The 17,892-nt window shown below is 51.1% G+C and overlaps 2 protein-coding genes across 17 annotated transcripts in view, besides 9 other annotated features; both read right to left on the reverse strand.

Annotated features, from left to right (window-relative positions):
* Positions 138-187: an enhancer, noted in NCBI's record as "active region_29619". NCBI's record gives its function as "activates an Ori minimal core promoter by ATAC-STARR-seq in GM12878 lymphoblastoid cells {active_cell/tissue: GM12878}" and the evidence as "EXISTENCE:reporter gene assay evidence [ECO:0000049][PMID:35858748]".
* Positions 780-6,622, reverse strand: PIM2 (Pim-2 proto-oncogene, serine/threonine kinase). Of its 2 annotated transcripts, NM_006875.4 has the most exons (6): positions 6,372-6,622; positions 6,134-6,243; positions 5,379-5,429; positions 2,618-2,990; positions 1,993-2,169; positions 780-1,892 (listed from the first exon to the last, which is right to left on the reverse strand). In NM_006875.4, exons 1-6 carry the CDS (start codon positions 6,430-6,432, stop codon positions 1,729-1,731), a joined length of 936 nt encoding a protein of 311 aa, NP_006866.2. In that variant the 5' UTR covers positions 6,433-6,622; the 3' UTR covers positions 780-1,728. The 2 variants fall into 2 exon arrangements, with proteins under 2 accessions (NP_006866.2, XP_047297748.1); XM_047441792.1 differs by lacking the exon at positions 1,993-2,169.
* Positions 1,878-1,927: an enhancer, noted in NCBI's record as "active region_29620". NCBI's record gives its function as "activates an Ori minimal core promoter by ATAC-STARR-seq in GM12878 lymphoblastoid cells {active_cell/tissue: GM12878}" and the evidence as "EXISTENCE:reporter gene assay evidence [ECO:0000049][PMID:35858748]".
* Positions 6,399-6,538: a silencer, noted in NCBI's record as "silent region_20826". NCBI's record gives its function as "represses an Ori minimal core promoter by ATAC-STARR-seq in GM12878 lymphoblastoid cells {active_cell/tissue: GM12878}" and the evidence as "EXISTENCE:reporter gene assay evidence [ECO:0000049][PMID:35858748]".
* Positions 6,629-6,868: a silencer, noted in NCBI's record as "silent region_20827". NCBI's record gives its function as "represses an Ori minimal core promoter by ATAC-STARR-seq in GM12878 lymphoblastoid cells {active_cell/tissue: GM12878}" and the evidence as "EXISTENCE:reporter gene assay evidence [ECO:0000049][PMID:35858748]".
* Positions 7,919-7,978: an enhancer, noted in NCBI's record as "active region_29621". NCBI's record gives its function as "activates an Ori minimal core promoter by ATAC-STARR-seq in GM12878 lymphoblastoid cells {active_cell/tissue: GM12878}" and the evidence as "EXISTENCE:reporter gene assay evidence [ECO:0000049][PMID:35858748]".
* Positions 8,672-9,556: an enhancer, noted in NCBI's record as "H3K27ac-H3K4me1 hESC enhancer chrX:48778351-48779235 (GRCh37/hg19 assembly coordinates)". NCBI's record gives its function as "activates a minimal SCP1, AML or CMV promoter by ChIP-STARR-seq in naive H9 embryonic stem cells {active_cell/tissue: H9 hESC(naive)}" and the evidence as "EXISTENCE:reporter gene assay evidence [ECO:0000049][PMID:30033119]".
* Positions 9,622-17,892, reverse strand: part of OTUD5 (OTU deubiquitinase 5) — a 36,358-nt gene continuing 28,087 nt past the window's right edge. For 6 of the 15 annotated variants that reach the window (XM_024452396.2, XM_005278042.4, XM_005272622.5 and 3 more), the window contains 4 exons: positions 13,445-13,648; positions 11,449-11,650; positions 11,231-11,344; positions 9,804-10,896 (listed from right to left, as the gene is read on the reverse strand). In XM_024452396.2, coding sequence (XP_024308164.1) covers positions 10,772-10,896; positions 11,231-11,344; positions 11,449-11,650; positions 13,445-13,648 — 645 coding nt within the window. In that variant the 3' untranslated portion in view covers positions 9,804-10,771. Of the gene's footprint in view, positions 10,897-11,230; positions 11,345-11,448; positions 11,651-13,444; positions 13,649-17,892 lie in introns of all 15 variants that reach the window. The other 9 variants (NM_001136159.2, XM_017029630.2, NM_001136157.2 and 6 more) reach the window with 3 other exon arrangements.
* Positions 11,101-11,608: an enhancer, noted in NCBI's record as "H3K4me1 hESC enhancer chrX:48780780-48781287 (GRCh37/hg19 assembly coordinates)". NCBI's record gives its function as "activates a minimal SCP1, AML or CMV promoter by ChIP-STARR-seq in naive H9 embryonic stem cells {active_cell/tissue: H9 hESC(naive)}" and the evidence as "EXISTENCE:reporter gene assay evidence [ECO:0000049][PMID:30033119]".
* Positions 11,609-12,115: an enhancer, noted in NCBI's record as "H3K4me1 hESC enhancer chrX:48781288-48781794 (GRCh37/hg19 assembly coordinates)". NCBI's record gives its function as "activates a minimal SCP1, AML or CMV promoter by ChIP-STARR-seq in naive H9 embryonic stem cells {active_cell/tissue: H9 hESC(naive)}" and the evidence as "EXISTENCE:reporter gene assay evidence [ECO:0000049][PMID:30033119]".
* Positions 15,055-15,693: an enhancer, noted in NCBI's record as "OCT4-NANOG-H3K27ac hESC enhancer chrX:48784732-48785370 (GRCh37/hg19 assembly coordinates)". NCBI's record gives its function as "activates a minimal SCP1, AML or CMV promoter by ChIP-STARR-seq in naive and primed H9 embryonic stem cells {active_cell/tissue: H9 hESC(naive and primed)}" and the evidence as "EXISTENCE:reporter gene assay evidence [ECO:0000049][PMID:30033119]".

Genomic DNA, 17,892 nt, shown 5'->3' on the forward strand with positions numbered 1-17,892 from the left:
CCCAGCACTTTGGGAGGCTGAGCCGGGCGATCACCTGAGCTCAGGAGTTCCAGCCTGGGCAAAACGACAAAACCCCGTCTCAAATAAAAAAAAAAAATTACCCGGGCTTAGTGGTATGCACCTGTACCCAGCTACTCTGGAGGCTGAGGCAGGAGAACCGCTGGAACCCGGAAGGCGGAGTTTATACTGAACCGAGACAAATAAGCAGGGCAAGAGAGGGAACAACTCAGGTCGGAACAAGTGAAACCAACATGGAATAGGGTAGGCCAGGTAAGTCAAGTGTTGAAGGAGAAATTAGAGGGATGGGTATGTAAGGGTAAAGATGGGGGAAGAGGCTAAAGATAAAGAGCAAAACAGGTGACTACACCCTGGACAGATTCCAGTCAGCGCCCAACCCCAGCCCCGCCCTGGCCAGTACCCTGACAGGGCTTTTCTTCTGCAACAGGGGAAAGGGCTTCTTCATTCCCCTGGGGTGCCAGGGAAGGTAGTTTTTCTGCTTCTGAGATAGCCATCTTGATTGGGGATGTGCCCTAAACACCTTCAATATGCACAGTATCTCCAACAGAGAACCCTTCTGCACATACTGGGCACTGCATAAGATCAGGGGCAGGGGAATCAAGATTTTTTTGTGTGTGTGTGGTGCAGCTTCAAGAATCCTTAAAGCTCTTTAGGATGGCAACATAAGACTGTGGCTTCCTGAGGACAAAGCAGAGGGACAGTCTGTCTCAGTGCACAGTAGATGCTCCATAAAAGCCTCACACCTACAAATGGCCAGCCGCTTCTGATTCTATTACTTTTATTAAATAGTGGGTTTCCACACATGGCTTTTTAAATAATCCAGGCAGGAGAAGAGAGGAGGGCACACTTGGAACTCCCCTCCCCACAATACGTGATTATTTACATTTTAGTAATTGGACAATCCCGGCTCAGGAGGAGGTTGCAAGAATCTGCAAAAGTTGGAGGGAGCGCCCCAGGAGAACAAACAGCAAGCCTTATTTCCCCTAGCCCATCCCCCAAAAAACCATCCATCCCATCCTAGTGTCTGGTGGTGTCCGGTGGTGTCCATCTTCCATTCCTTCCCAAATTATGGAAGTAAGGTTCTTCTCACCAGAATAAGAGCACTTGGGATAACAGAGTAGGGTCCCCTCACCCAAAAAAAAAAAAAAAAAAAAGAAGCCTTGGGGTAACAACAGGGCATTACCTCCCCCAGAATAAAGAATCCTGGGCTGAGGCAGGTAAGCAGCTTGACCCAATATGGGACCCTAGGCTAGGGGAAAGGGTCCCTTTACTAAAATAAAAGCTACTGGGGTATTGGAAGGAAAGCACCCTTGCCCAAGTAAGAGCATATGAACTAAGTTTGTGTGGTGGTAGTAGGAGGTGCCAATGTGGGGTGACACATCATCAGAATAAGAGTCCCGGGGCTCAGAATGGGAACAACTTCACCAAAATAAACTTCCTTAGCAAAATGAGAAGCAAGAAGTTCCCCCTCCAGAATCAGGGACCACAGGTTCTGGGAGGAAGGCTCCTTTGTAGGATTGGGAAGGGAACTGGGCAGACTTGGTTTATGTCTTCTAACCCCTGATCCTCAATCCCTTACCTTAGTAATACTGGACTTTAATGACTGGTAATGACCTGTAAAACCAAGTCAACAAATGTCCATCTATCCCTGTGACATGGCCATGGGATGGCTCTTCTGACCATTGGGGGCCAGGCCAGGCCAGGCCAGGCTTAGGGTAGCAAGGACCAGGCCAAAGGGGCAGGGCCTCCTTTGGAGGGGTTGAGGGGTACATCCTCGGCTGGTGTTTGCATCCAGGGGTCCAGCAGGATCTCTTCCAGTGAGGGTCGGGAAGAAGGTTTGGGGGCCAGGCACCGGCGGATTAGGGCACAGCAGTCTGTAGGCCAAGAAGCAGAGAGGGAAGATTAGCAGTCAGTAGGGGGTACTGGTCCCTGAGAAGGATGGAGTCTTCTGGGCTGGGGTCAGTGAGGCCTCACCTGGGGAGACATGGGCTGGGAAGTGGAGCTCAGCTTCCAGAATCTCCTGGTCCCTCTCAAAGGGAATGTCCCCACACACCATGTCATAGAGGAGGATGCCCAGTGACCAGACAGTGGCCGGGAGTGCATGGTACTGGTGTCGAGAGATCCACTCTGGGGGGCTGTACACCCTTGTCCCTGCACACAAGCCAGGGGTTAGACCAACTCAATCTCATGATGCCCTTCTCCAACCCCAAACTCTCCAGGAAGGATGGCCTCACCACAATTAAGAGCACTCAAGATAAAAGCAGAGTCCCCTCACTAGATAAAAAGCAGCTAAAATAACAGAGTCCCCTCAACAGAATAAAAGCACTGAAAAGTAACAGGATCCCCTTACCAGAGAAAGAATACTCAGGATGGTAACAGGATCCCCTCACCAGAATAGGAGCCCAGAATAAGGTTAGCACACCATTAAAAGATGGACTTTATCAGAGGGCAAGGCTGAGAATCCCCAGTATTAGCAATCGATCATCTTATATAATGCAGTATGGGTCAAGGATTACAGGACACCCCACCACTGGAGGCCAAAGGTCACAAGGCCATCAAGTAAAAACAATCCCTCCAGGGAGATTTAGAGAAGCCTTACCATCAAAGTCAGTGTAGGGTTCATCATGAAGCAGGGCACCAGAACCAAAATCAATGAGTTTGGCACAGCCACGGCGTAGGTCTATCAGGATGTTCTCATCCTTGATGTCACGATGGACAACTCCACGGGAATGGCAGTGCTGGATGGCTGCCACTACTTGGCCAAAGAAGCAGCGGCTTGGGCCTTCACCCAGTGGGCCCTTCTCTGTGATATAGTCAAAGAGATCCTGGGCGGGCAAAGGCCGCTCGAGGACCAGCATGAAGCCCTCCTGTGTCTCAAACCAGTCAAGCAGGCGGATCACGCCAGGGTGCCCACCACCTGCACCCACTTTCCATAGCAGTGCGACTTCGAGTGGGCATGTGACTGAGTCTGACTGGGGGCACAGGTGGGGTGGGAAGCAGGGAGAGAAAAAAGACAGATGTCAGGGCAACAGCTCTGAGGCTTTTTACCTAAGCTCAACTCAGGGCCCCTTTTCCTGACAGTGTGTCGCTAAGCAACTCACTTCCCTTCCTGGGCCTCACTTTCCCTAAAGACACAAACTCACACAGCGATTGAGAGGGTGAAACCAGCAAAGAGCCTGCACAAATCTCGCATGTCGTAGATCAATAAACATTTGAATAAACGAAAGAAGTTCGGCCAGGCACAGTGGCTCATCCCTGCAATCCCAGCACTTTGGGAGGCTGATGTGGGTGGATTGCTTGAGCCCAAGAGTTCAAGATCAGCCTGGGCAAAATGGCACAAACACAAAAATTAGCCAGGCTTGGTGGCATGCACCTGTAGTCCCAGCTACTTGGGAGGCTCAGGTGGGAGGGTCGCTTGAGCCAAGAAGGCAGAGGTTGCAGTGAAGATCACACCACTGCACTCCAGCTGTCTCAAAACAAACAAGCAAAAATACAAAGAAAAATCTGGTTATCAACTGAAGGCTTTCAGCAGAAGCAGCACCACCATTATGTGTTTTGTTTTGTTCCCTGACATATCCCAGATTAGAATAGTACCTTACACAGGTGATCAATAAATGTTAAACAGATGACAGCACTTAATAGCATGGGCTCTGACAAGCAGTTAGCACTCAATAAACACTTATTGTGTAATGGTTTGTTTTGTTCACGGACGTATATGAAGCACTAGAACAGTGGCTGCTAACAGAGTAGGGCTGAATAAATATTTGTTAAACAGGTGAAAACAATTAGTAAAAAAGGACCTAGCACAAAATGAGCTCTCAATACTTATGTAATACTTTGCTGAGTGTCTAGAATTATGTCTGTCATATAGTAGGTGGTCAATATACCTAATTTGTTAAACAGCTGAGTGATTTATTACAAAGGACCTAGCACAAAAGGACTTAGTGTTATCATGTGTTTTGTCAGCATCACCAAGCACCTAGAACCAGCCAATAAAAAGCCTAAATGTGGCCCTGCGCAGTGGCTCACGCCTGTAATCCCAGCACTTTGGGAGGCCGAGACGGGCAGATCACCTGAGGTCGGGAGTTCGAGACCAGCCTGACCAACATGGAGAAACCCCGTCTCTACTAAAAATACAAAATTAGAGGCCGGGCGCGGTGGCTCACGCCTGTAATCCCAGCACTTTGGGAGGCCCAAGGCGGGCAGATCACTAGGTCAGGGGTTCGAGACCAGCCTGGCCAACATGGTGAAACACGGTCTCTACTAAAAACGTAAAACTTAGCCGGGCATGGCAGCGGGTGCCTGTAATTCCAGCTACTCAGGAGCCTGAGGCAGGAGAATCGCTTGAACCCAGGAGGTGGAGGCTGCAGTGAGCTGAGATCACGCCACTGCACTCCAGCCCAGGCAGCAGAGCGAAACTCCGTCTCAAGGAAAAAAAAAAGTCATAAATGCAGCCGGGCGTGGTGGCTCATGCCTGTAATCCCAGCACTTTGAGTGGCCGAGGCAGGCGGATCACCTGAGGTCAGCAGTTCAAAACCCGCCTGGCCAACATGGTGAAACCCTGTCTCTACTAAAAATACAAAAATTAGCCGGGCATGGTTGTGCGCTCCTGTAGTCCCAGCTACTTGGGAGGCTGAGGCAGGAGAATCACTTGAACCCAGGAGACGGAGGTTGCAGTGAGCCGAGATCGCGTCACCTCACTCCAGCCTGGGCAACAGAGGGAGACTGTGTCTCCAAAAAAAAAAAAGTATAAACGCTGGGGGCCACAAAATCCGCCCCCCACTGCCTCCCCAAGCCCTGCGCAGGTACACTTCGAGCAGCAACCTTCTGGGATGAGGTAGAGCCCTCTCCTGGCCAGGCTGCTGACTTGCACGGCAGCAGACGTTTTCTCACCGAGATGCAAAAATACCGATATTGCGCAGGCGCACCCTCTCCCTTTGGGTCCCATGGACTGCGCAGGCGCAGTTTCCCCTAGAGCCCGCCAGGGGGCGCTCCCAACTCTACAACTTGCCCAGACCCGCCCTGATGTCCGTTAGCGTTATAACGGCAAGAGAGAAGCAGCCACCATCACCATGGCAACCAGTGACCTCTGCCCCTTGTTCCCCACCAGCACGCCCTGCGGGCAGTCCCCCAGCAGTGTTTGGAGGAAGGATGGTAAAGGTTTGTTGGAGGGGAGAATCCAGGGCTCTAGGGGAATTGGGGTGAATCAGAACTGTATGTCACCCCAAGGGAGTATAAATGGGCTGGCAGTATTCTCACTGTTACAGGGCCCAGGGAGTCATACATCCCCTGGAAAAGCAAGGAGGTGAATACATCAGTGATGGAGTAGGTAGGTTAGGAAGGGCTCCGAAGGTACTCACCAAGGGGGACCAGCCCAGCACACGATTCCGGGGAATCACTTTGATGGCCACCTGGAGAAGAAGGCCGTGATAAGGAGGCCAGCAGGTGATCCCCAGACCCCTCCCAGTCTAGACCTTCTGCCTACCTCCAGTATTCCTCCATCTACCAGCACTCTAGTCTTTCTGGTCCCCAACCACAGCACCCCACAGAACGCGTACCAGGGCGTCTCCCCTGCCCTCCAGGTCCTCGGAACCAAGTTTATCTCTCCCACCTTCCTTAGCCCTGGGCTCTCCGTTCTCAGGCATCAGGACTCATCACTCCAAGTCCTGAGTTCTAGATTTCCTGATACCCCAGGCCCACAATCTTCCTATTTAGCTCTACGACACCCCAACTCTGTACCAGGGTCCTGGTCCGCATGACTCCACACTGGACACCTACCTCCAAAAGTCCCACAAATCTCACATCTAGGTCCCTGCTTTCCCACACATACACAGCCTGGACCCCGGGGTCAAGGAACTCCGGAATCTGAAGCCCCCTGCCCCCCCCCCCCGCCCATAACCTCCTAGACCGACACACACACGCGCACGCACACACACCTGGCCCTCTACACACACTGCAGGCTCACTCCTCGGACACGGACACGGACACACACACACACACACCTGGTCCTCTACACACTCTGCAGGCTCACTCCTCGGTCAACCAGCATTCCAGGGCCAGGACCCCCGCCCCCGCCACACGCACCTGACCCTCCCAAGACCCTCATGACGGATACCTGGAGTCGATCTGTGAGGCGGTGTCCTGCGAAGACGGTGCCAAAGCCCCCCTTACCCAGGAGGGGGCCGAGTCGATACTCGGCCTCGAACGCTTCCCGATCCTTGCCTCCTACGCAGGCGGAGGCGAGGAAGTCAGGGTGGCGGCGTGCTGAGCCCAGCCACGACTCCCTCCCCCCGCGCTGCAACCCATCATTCCAGCCCACCCCGTCTGGTTGCAGTAGGGGAGGATGTACTCACCTGGCGGCGGCGTGGGGGTCCCGGGGGGCGCGGGAGGCCCCTGTAGAGGCTTGGTCAACATGGAGGTGGCGCTGCGCAGATTGAGCCCACTGAACCCGCTAAGCCCGCAGGGCGTGGACGCCCGGGGCAGCGCAGCTGGGGAGCCAGGGCTGGGGGGCGCCAGGGTGGAAAGCAGAGAAACTGGTGGCCCGGAAGCGCCCGCAGACGGCGCAGCGTTGAGATTCGCCGCGCGCGCCAGCCCCAATGCTACTGAGCCTGGGCACGCGCCTCCCGGGAGAGTCACCCTGGGCGACAGCCCCGCCCACCTGGCTTTGATCAATCCGGACGCGGCACCTGCTGTACCACAGCCAATCGGAGCCAGTTCTTATTTGCATACCACCCTCATCGTTTCAAGGGCCCCCTTATGCAAATACACGCTCGGTTCTTCCGAGGAGGCGGGGCCTGCATGTAAATGAGGGGGCTTGAGGTGGGGCTCACACCAAGAGGAAACCGGTTCTGGGAATCCCTTTGCAGCACCGCGCTTGTTTTGGTTGTTGCGCGGGGTTGTTGTTGGTAGTGGTGGCGGTGTGTGTGTGTATTTACACTTAAAAAATAACTGCGCAGTATCCTTTCCTGGGAAGTTGGTTTGCCGCCGCTGCCTGGATATTAGCACAGAGATAGCGCCAGGCCGGGCTTCTAAGAATTCGCGCTTGTGGCTATCCAAGACTCCGTCTCGAAAGGTGCTTGTCGGACTCCTTCACCGGAGTCCTCCAGGCGACTGGCGGCCTTCACTGGAAAGCTGAGGCCAGGGCCCTGGAAATATCTGGTAGCCAGGGAGGGGGAACCCCTACCATCAACGCCACGGGTGTGCATTGGTCAAAGGCAGCATTGCCTGGTGAGTGTTTATTGGAGCTTTTAACCCTGAGCCCTGGGCCCAGTCAGCAAGTCTAGAATCTAGAACAGCAGGGGGTGGTTCTTGGGGGATGGGGGTGAGCCCAGAGTGGTGGTGGCATGGGGCTGCTCTTGGAGTTGAGAGAGGCAAGGACTGAGAGACATGATAGAGGCTGCTAGAGAAGTGGCAACTCTCAGACACAAATTTGTGAAAAACAGCCAGAAAAGGCGCCACACCCCAGGAAGAAAAATGCACTCCAAAGACACATGAATGCCAAGATATACACAAACACATACTGTCAGACACATTCACAGAAACGACCTAGATACACATGCAGCCAGAGACTGACATACACTTTCAGGCAAGCACACTGTCAGAAAAATAGTTATGTCCTAGAATGACACCCAGAGATACACTGTTACAGAAAGGCACTCACGCAGACCTACATTTGCCATGTGATGACACAGAAATGTCCCGTCACACTGGCAGAACTTGTCACAAACACACTGTCACCATCAGATATGCACTGTCACAGCAAGACTTGTACTGTCCCAGAAATGAGAGACGCAGAGTCTGTCACAGGAAGATGCACAGATGCTCCAGGGACACACATGCACTGCTCTGAAGGCAGACATGTACTGATGTGATAGAATCACATTTTGTGGCAGTGTCACAAAAACAGACATGGATAGACCTGTTCAGACACAGACATACATACACCATGACACATGCAGTTTATCAATGGAACAAACTGTCCAGAAATAGCTACCCAGAATCTGTTGCAGGAACACAAACGGACATCCACCCCATCAGACAGAAACCACAGATGCACTGTCACAGACAGACCCACGCAGGCATGCACGCATCTTGGATTTAGACACAAACTGTCAGAGATAAGAGTCCCACACTCAGTCACCATCTGACACACCTGGAAACAAGCCCTTCATCACACACACAACTGGGGACACTCTGTGAGCTGCACATGAAGACTTGGACTCACCACAGTCACACACACACAGACAACACCAAAAAAGCACACATGTACTCTCCTTTGTTCACCCAACGTTATTGGGGGTGGTTTGCTATAAGCCTGCCAGGCCTTGATGGGGATGTTGGTATCAGAGATGTACAGATAAGTCAGGCATCAAACCCGTGCCATGAAGTTTATCTGTAGTACAGCTACTGGGGAGATTTTTAGATAGAAGTGAGAATGTGAATGGGCTTCTCAGCAGGTGACCCTCTGTCTTGAAAGACAAAGAAGGTTGGTGGCTCAGGACAGGGGAGGGCAAATTGCAGGCAAAGGCCAAGAACACTGGACAGAGCGGCGAGAGATTGGCAGGGGCCAAATGGTGCAGAAACTTCTACAAAAAGAATACTACTAACATTTGTGCTCTCTCAATGTGCCAAGCACTGTGCCCAGGTAGTACGTTACTTTGATCATACATATTCCCTCTAGATGATCACAGCAGAAGCATGAGGGAGTAGATATCACTTTTTTTTTTTTTTTTTAAGACTGAGTCTCGCTCTGTCACCCAGGCTGGAGTGTGGTGGCGCAATCTCGGCTCACTGCAACCTCCACCTCCTGGGTTCAAGCGATTCTCATGCCTCAGCCACCCAAGTAGCTGGGATTACAGGCACGTACAACCATGAACGGCTAATTTTTGTATTTTTAGTAGAGATGGGGTTTCTCCATGTTGGCCAGGCTGGTCTCGAACTCCTGATCTCAGGTGATTCACCCACCTCAGCCTTCCAAAGTGCTGGGATTATAGGTGTGAGTCACTGCACCCAGCCTAATCACCTCTTGTACAGATGAGACACTTGAAACAGAGAAGCAATTGACCAGGGCCAGGAAGGTTTCAAAGCAACTCTACAACAAATAGATGCTTGGCCACTGGGTTCCAGACACACTCCGCAGACAGCCACTCAGCTAGCCATGCCCTCAACTGCAGAACCAGACACACATCCTGTCAGAGGGTCTCCATTATCATGGCATGGTGAAAAAGCTGCTTGAGAAAACCTGGGGGCCAGCCAGCCTTCTTTACCTTGGATTTACCCCTAGGGAGGACAGGCAAAGAGGTGTCAGACTGGGGGACAAGAACAAAAAAGGGTTTAGCCGTCCTTCACCTTCTAAAACCTAGTGGGTGAGGCCCCTCTGGTTACTTCCACTAAACTCATGTTGCTACAAAGTATCAGTTGCACTTTTCCAAGGCTTTTCTTCATCAGATCATGATAAGGAAAGAGCAGCATTCATGGTGAGAGGCAGGCGGAGAAGCTGGAATTCAGGCAGGAAGTTCAAGCTCACAGTCCTCTGCTACCATCACCCCCCCCCCCCCAGGAAATAGGGTAGGCAGGGGTGGGGTCAGCAGGCAAAGACGCAGCTTTTCCAGTGGCAATAGGTCCAGAAGGAGGTTTAATAAGCAGCAAATCAAATACAAACTCCAGGCCCCCAGACAGACCCTGCTGGAGAGCATTCACACCTCTGAGGTCAAGCCAAGGTCCGTGCCATTGCATCCTCTGCCCAGAGGCCCGCCCAACCCCTGCCCCACACAGAACAGAGTCGCTCAGGGAAACTGACATTTGGTTTTATTGTGCCAAGGACATTACAGATGGCGGATCTTGTCAACACCTGCAGGGCACGGGTGCCCCATCTGCCAAGGCTGCTCCCACACTCCCTACACTCAAATCCCGGGTGGCAGCCATAATCCCCAAAGATGACCCCCACCCCAAGATTCCAAAGAAGCTAGTGGTGGTGGAAGCAAAAGGAATGCAGCAAGGTCAGGGTTTCATTGTCCAAGCCGGCCTGACACCTGCCGCCCTGCCCTTGCCCAGTGCACACCCTAGACCCTGGGCCGGCCTCCATGCAGCTGGAGGCCAGAAGACAGCAACCCATATCTTTGCACCCTCCTCCATGCCCCATGGCCTGCCTGCCCAGAAAGATGCCACCTTCACAGAGCCAGTGCTGTCGTCTATATCATTTTTGATTAGTTGATTTTATAAGATAAAAGTAATTTTAATAAAGAAAAAATTCAACATTGAAGGCTCAGACGTTCTTGGGGGTACTGGGAAGGGAAATTTCCCACTTCTTCCTCCCACCTCCCTGGCATCAGTGTCGGGGGGTGGCGGCAAGTTTTTCTCATCTTGGAAGGAATGAGGGGCAGGGAGACTTTCCTCTGTCTGAATGTCTCTCTCCTCTGGGGCTGCCTGGCTGCCAGTTGGTCTGTCTCTGTGTGCCTCTTGTCTATCTTCGGCACCCTTGCCCGAGTCCCCTGTGGAATGCAGGGATGGTTCTGTGCGGGATGGGGTGGGGGGCAACAGGGCACATCAGCTGGCAGAGAGACAGGTGATAGTGGCAGCGGCAATGAGAGAGAGTGCAGGGGTGGGCTAGCCAGAGGGAAGTGAGGAGGAGGGAAAAGAGGGGAGAGCAGAAAGAACAGAAGGAGGCAAGAGGGAAGAAGCCAAAGAAGGTGAGGTGGCACCGGAGAGCAGGAGTACTGGGGTTGGGAGATGGTGTCCAATCCCTGGGTCTCCATCAACTCTTGTCTGGGGGCGGGTCTCTGTGCACTTTGTTTTTCTTCATACTGTCTAGGTATTCCTGTTGGGACACTGCCAGCACCGAAGCTAGGATCTCATCATCATCCCAGTCATTCAGACCTGCTGGGCGAGAGGAAGAGGAAAAGGATGATGGAGCGCTCTCAGCCTGCCTTCTCCTCACCCTGTGCCGACATCTGGGGCTCTGGAGAAATCCCATAGGGCCCTTCTCACTCCTTTCTCAAAACAGAAGGATCTGCTAGGCCTGTGAAACCCCACTTAGACCCCAGACCCTTCTGGGGCAAATTCCTTGGATCTGAAAAATCCCCTCCAGTGCCTCTCCCTTCTTTTCTTGGGGAGATGGCCAGAGGCTCCAGAAAGCCCCTCTCAGGACTTGCCACTTCTTCCAGTCTCTCCCAGCTCCTAGCAGCCTCCATCCCCCCAGACAAAGGAGGCTTACCAAAGGCAGAGGGGGACATCTGCTGAATGAGGGCCCGGCACTCCAAAGCAGGGTAGAGGGACACAAGGGGGGAAGTTGCCCGGTCGGCCCCTGCCGAGAACTGACTGCTTGTACCTGAAGCAGACGGACAGTCAAAGGTAGGGACCCAGGATCCAGGACCCAGGACCCAGGACGTGCCTCCTAACTCCCAGCACATTCCCTGTGGGCAAGTCACTGACCTGGCGCACAGGGCGAAGGAGGTTTGGCAAGAGCTAAAACAGTGCCTGGGGAAGGGGGCTTCATGCCCAATTCAGCATGCAGCTCAGGGTGCTCAGGTGACGAGGCTGAACTCCGCTGCCGCGGGGACCGGCTAGTCCACTCCTCCAGGCCACTGGAGGCTGCTGCTGTGGCCGAACTGCATGTGGCGCTGGCTTTCCGGGGCTGCAGCGGGGAAGGTAAATGCGTTAAGGACCACCAGCAGCCATGACCTTCTTGTGACCCATCCCTGAATGCTGGCTCCCTTCCCAGGACCTTGGCTATGATACAGCTTCTATGTAGGTCAACATCATCCCCACTCACACGGTGGACCACAAGACTCCTCACAGGACAGAGGTGGAGCTCCTTACCCTTTCTCTCACACCCCTACAGCCAATCTGACAGGAAACCCTGTTACCTCTATCTTGAAAATAGATCTCAAATCCAACCCCTTCTCACCAACTCCACTGCCAGCACTGGCCACCAGTCACCTGGCCTACTGCAGTAGCCTCCTCCTCACTGGCCCCTGCTTCTGCCCTCACTCACCAGACTCCACTGGATGACTAGCAGGCAAGGCGATCTTATTAAATCCCCAACCACATCCTGTCCGTCCTCTGCTCACAATCCTCCCATGGTTTCTGCCTCTCTGAGAGTAAATGCCAAAGTCCTCGCCACAGCCCACAAGCCCCTACCCAATTGGACCCACAACCTCTCTGACTTCATCTACTACTACATTCTGTTCGGATACACCGGCCTCCCTCTGGGCTGTGCCTGAGTTGTACCAGGTGTGTGGGCCTGCTGTCCTCCCCTCCATGTGCGCTCAGCTAACTCTCACCTTCTGCAAGGCTCAAATCTCACCTGCTCTGAGGCCTACCCTGACTGCGCTATTTCATACCGTGAACGCACATTCCTGCTCAGCCCCTTTATCCTGGCTCTACACTTTCCATCCATAGCACTTCCCAACTAATTTATTCATTATATTTATTATTTTATTTCACTCTGCAAAACTGTGAACATCACAAGGACGGGGATCTTGGTCTGCTGGGCTCACCTATGTATCCCCATATACTGAAAACAGGGCCTGCCACAGACTGGTAGTAGGTATTTGTGGAATAAAACTCAGCTCCTTCAGCCGGGTGCGGTGGCTCACGCCTGTAATCCCAGCACTTTGGGAGGCCGAGGTGGTCGGATCACGAGGTCAGGAGATGGAGACCATCCTGGCTAACACGGTGAAACCCCGTCTCTACTAAAAATACAAAAAATTAGCCAGGCGTGGTGGTGGGCGCCTGTAGTCCTAGTTACTCCGCAGGCTGAGGCAGGAGAATGGCATCAACCTGGGAGGCGGAGCTTGCAGTGAGCCGAGACTGCGCCACTGCACTCCAGCCTGGGCGACAGAGCAAGACTCTGTCTCCAAAAAAAAAAAAAAAAAAAAACTCAGCTCCTGCCAGCCAACATCTACAATCACTCCAAACTCCTTGCGATTTTACAATTCCTCAGATGCTTGTCTGCCCCGCCCCTCCCCGCTCCCCTAACAATTCAACCTTCCTCTGTGAAGACTAACCGGAGCCCCCACCTCCACTGATCTCCCAGTCAGGGTCAAGGACCCCACCATTGAGTTGTCTCTGCCAACAGACGAGATCGTTGAGGGCAGAGTAGTCCAGATCTGATGTTACATTCTCAGTAGAGACCTGGCACACAAGGGCAGTCAACAAAAGCTTGTGTCTCTGAAGCTATCCATTATTCTCGTGTCACCAGCAGCATGGCTGCCCTCCTCTCACTCCTTAAGTGCCTGTTCTGCACAAGTATTTAAAGTTCCAAGGTACAATGCCAAAACTAAGACCAAGATGAGTTACAGATGGTGCTGGATGCTTCCTTCCCTCCCAGATGTCAAAACTGCTTAATTTTTTTCTGCTCGCTTGAGGGCAAAGCATGAGAAGTAATGAGTTTTTGGCCAAGCCTGTGACAGAGTCCATGACCCACCTGGCTGGGGCCTCGGACCTGGCGAGCCTGTTTCTCCTGATCCCGCAACCACTGCAGGTAGGATTCCCGAGCCACCTGCTCCTCGATGGCTTCATTTGTGGCCTCCCAGTCTGTGGCCCGTTTCTTGTCTTCTAGCATCTGCTGTTCAATCCATGACTCCTCCGATGTTTTTATGGCATTCTTCATCAGAGACTGCTCTGCAAACTGCAAGGAGGGAGAGGAACAGGGATGTGCAATAACACACTGAACCTGCCCAAGAGCCAGAACAGGCTCAGCGAGGTAGGCCCACAGGCCCCAGAAAAAAAAGGAGACAGGAAAGCAGGTACTCCCAAAGAGCAACACTCCACAGACTACCTCTTGATTGGGGACCAAGGGAAAGCAGGCTTGGGATGTGGGACCTGTCATTCCAAACTCCTATGCTTGTAAGACCTGACTCTAACCCCCAAACCACCTCAACTGAGGCACTGAGACTGGAGCAGTCAGGTGCCTTCCAACCTGGGACTTATTTTTTTTTTTTTTTCTGAGACGAAGTATCGCTCTGTCGCCCAGGCTGGAGTGCAGTGGGGTAATCTCGGCTCACTGCAACCTCCGCCTCCCAGGTTCAAGGGATTCTCCAGCCTCAGCCTCCCAAGTAGCTGGGATTACAGGTGAGTGCCACCACCCCCGGCTAACTTTTTTGTATTTTTAGTAGAAATGGGGTTTCACCATGTTGGCCAGGCTGGCCTTGAACTCCTGACCTCAGGTGATCCACCCGACTCGGCCTCCCAAAGTGCTGGGATTATAGGTGTGAGCCACTGCACCTGGCCCTGGGCCTTAATTTAAAGAAGCCCCATCCAGTGATGACTGTTTCATAATGTTGAGGACTTTCACACACATGAGCAGATGAGACACATACAAAAATTAGCTATGTGTGCACCGGGTGGAGGGAGTATTCAAGCATGTGAGGGGTTGGGGGAAGTAGTGGGTGTGTGAGGGAATAAGGGGGCAGTATCAACATGGTGTGGGGTGCTATGAGTTACAGGACACTACATCAGAGTACTGTTTTTCAGGCTGAGATCCAACAGCATTTTTAAAAAATAGAAAATATCAGAATATATCCCAGGGAATAAGTGCAAATGTTGTTTCATGAAGCTTTAGTTAACATTATTTTAATGCACATATACACATCACACACAAATGCATATATGCTAAGTAATCATGTAAAATGTATTCTTTTCTTTTTCCTGCAGACCTTGCATTCAGATAAAATGTAATTTTTTACTGTGAATAGTTAAAAACAATTCGTAAAACTATGTTAGAACAAGCCAATTAAAAAAATAGTCAAAAAATCTAACCACTCTGGCAGTGTTAAACACACTCCAAGTGTTTTTTCTACTCTCACTCAACAACAATCAACACAGGAGACTTCTGTGACCAAGTGTGCGGGCTGGGGGGAGGGTGTTTTCCCACACAGCAAGCAGCGGACACCTGGTGTCCATCCTCCAATGCAATTCAATACCCAGAGACAGCCTGGGATCCCACAGGTTGAGGGCTCAGTCCCACAAGACTCCCCCCAACCCCCTTCGAACACCAGTCGAAAGTCTGGGCCTCCAGAATTTCTGACTGACCAGCTATAAATTGGGATTCCCACAATACTTTTTTGGGGGTTCAACTAACTTGCTAGAGCAGCTCACAAAACCCAGGAAACACGTCTGCCAGTTTATTATAGAGAAAATTACAAAGGATACAGATGAGATGCACAGAGTGAGATATGGGGGAAGGGACGTGGAGCTTCCATGCCCTCCCTGGGGTGCCACCCTCTAGAAACTTCCATGTATTCAGCTACCCAAAAGCTCCCAGAACCCAATCCTTTTGGGATTCTTTGGAAGCTTCATTATGCAGGCATTATTGATTATGCCATTGGACACTAGTGATCAACCTAATCTTCAGCCTCTCTCCCCTCCCCAAAGGCTGGGGGATGGGCTTAAAGTTGCAAACCTCTAATCCTGCCTTGGTCTTTCAGGTCACCAGCCCCCATCCTGAAGCTACCTAGAGGCTGCCAGCCATCAGTCACCTCATTAGCATACAAAAAGGCAACACTTTGCAGATTCTAAGGATTTTAGGAATTGTATGTCAGGAAGTCACAAACACAATTCACCAAAGAAGCTATACAGATGGCAAATAAGCATATGAAAAGATGCTCAACAGCATTTGCCAATAGGCAACTGCAAGTTAAAATAATGAGATACCACTACACACCTAAGAGAATGGCTAAAATCCAACACAATGACAGTATCAATTGCTGGTAATGCTGACAACAGGAACTTCCAAATCATTATGGTGGGCATGCAAATAATACAGCCACTTGGGAAGACAGTTTCTCAGTTCCTCATAAATCAAAACATAATCTTACAACGCAATCCAGCAATCTTGCTCCCAGGTATGTATACAACTGATCTAAAAAATTACGTCCACAAAAAAACCTGCATGCACATTACAGAAGCTTTATTCATAATCATCAAAAACTGGAAGCAACCAAGAATGTCTTTTAATAGGTGAATAATTAAACTGGTACCTCCATAAAAGGAACATTAAGTGATAAGAAAGAAACCAGCTAACAAGCCATGAAAGAACATGGAGAAACCTTAATGCATACTGCTAAGTGAAAAGAAGCAGTCTGTCACATTGACCATTTTAATTTCAGGGGGGAAAAAAGCAAATTGGCTGCAGGTGGCTCACCCCTGCAATACCAGCACTTTGAGAGGCCAAGGCGGGAGGATCACTTGTCCCCAGGAATTTGAGATTGGCCTGAGCAACACAGTGAGATCCTGTCTCTACAAAATAAAAATATTTTTAAAGTTAGCCAGGCATGGTGGTGTGTGCCTGTGGTCCCAGCTACTTGGGAGGCTGAGGTGGGAGGATTGCTTAAACCCAGGAGGTAAAGGCTGCAGTGATATTGTGCCACTGCACTCCAGCCTGGGCAACAGTGATACACTGTCTCAAAAAAAAAAAAAAAAAACAGTATGAAAAGGCTACATACTGTATGATTACAATTATATGACATTCTGAAAAAGGCAACCCACAAAGACAATAGTGTTTGCAGGAAGAGGGAGGAAGGGAGGGGTAAGCATATGGAGTATGAGGAATTTTAAGGGTGGTCAAACTATTCTGAATAATACTGTAATAGTAGATACATAACATTACACATTTGTCAAAACCCATAGAATGTACAACACAAAGAGTGGACCTTAATATATGCTATTTAAAAAAAAATTAGGAAGGCTGGGCACGGTGGCTCATGCCTGTAATTCCAGCACTTTGGGAGGCCAAGGTGGGTGGATCTCCTGAGGTCAGGAGTTCGAGACCAGCCTGGCCAATATGGTGAAACCTGTCTCTACTAAAAATCAAAAAAATTAGCTGGGCGTGGTGGCGCGTGCCTGTAATCCCAGCTACTCGGGAGGCAGAGGCAAGAGAATCACTTGAACCACGGAGGCTGAGGTTGCAGTGAGCCGAGATCGCACCACTGTACTCCAGCCTGGGTGACAGAGCAAGACTCTGTCTCAAAAAATAAATAAATAAATAAAATAAAATAAAATAAAAATTAGGAGATCTATGGCCAGCGCGGTGGCTCATGCCTGTAATCCCAGCACTTTGGGAGGCCGAGGCAGGCAGATCACCTGAAGTCAGGAGTTCGAGACCAGCCTGGGCAACATGATGAAACCCCGTCTCTACTAAAAATACAAAAATTAGCCAGGTGTGGTAGTGCATGCCTGTAATTCCAGCTACTCGGGAGGCTGAGGCACGAGAATTGCTTGAACCCAGGAGGTAGAGGCTGCGGTGAGTTGAGATCATCGCACCACTGCACTCCAGCCTGGGCGACAGTGAGACTCTGTCTCAAAAATAAATAAATAAAAAATTAGGAGATCTGAGATCCCAGCATAGAATGCAAAAATGTGACAAAATAATACAAATGTATTACAAACATGAAACAACCTTGGCCGGGCGCGGTGGCTCACGCCTGTAATCCCAGCACTTTGGGAGGCCGAGGCGGGCGGATCACGAGGTCAGGAGATTGAGACCATCCTGGCTAAGACGGTGAAACCCCGTCTCTTACTAAAAATACAAAAAATTAGCCAGGTGTGGTGGCAGGCACCTGTAGTACCAGCTTCTCGGGAGGCTGAGGCAGGAGAATGGTGTGAACCTGGGAGGTGGAGCTTGCTGTGAGCCGAGATCACGCCACTGCACTCCAGCCTGGGCGACAGAGCGAGACTCTGTCTCAAAAAATAATAATAATAAAATAAAATAAAAATAAACACCCTCATTTGAAGGGGGTGGGGGTACAAGTAGGTCACTTTCAAAATGAATGGAGTCTGTAACACCAAAGGCAAAAAAGAACTATATGTAGCATTGAGCTATAGTGATAAAGTTGTTTCCCACGGGGGTACGGGTGAACAAGTGTGATTCTGCTA

This window comes from Homo sapiens, chromosome X (genome assembly GCF_000001405.40).
Source record: "Homo sapiens chromosome X, GRCh38.p14 Primary Assembly".
In the NCBI taxonomy this organism is placed as follows: domain Eukaryota; kingdom Metazoa; phylum Chordata; class Mammalia; order Primates; family Hominidae; genus Homo; species Homo sapiens.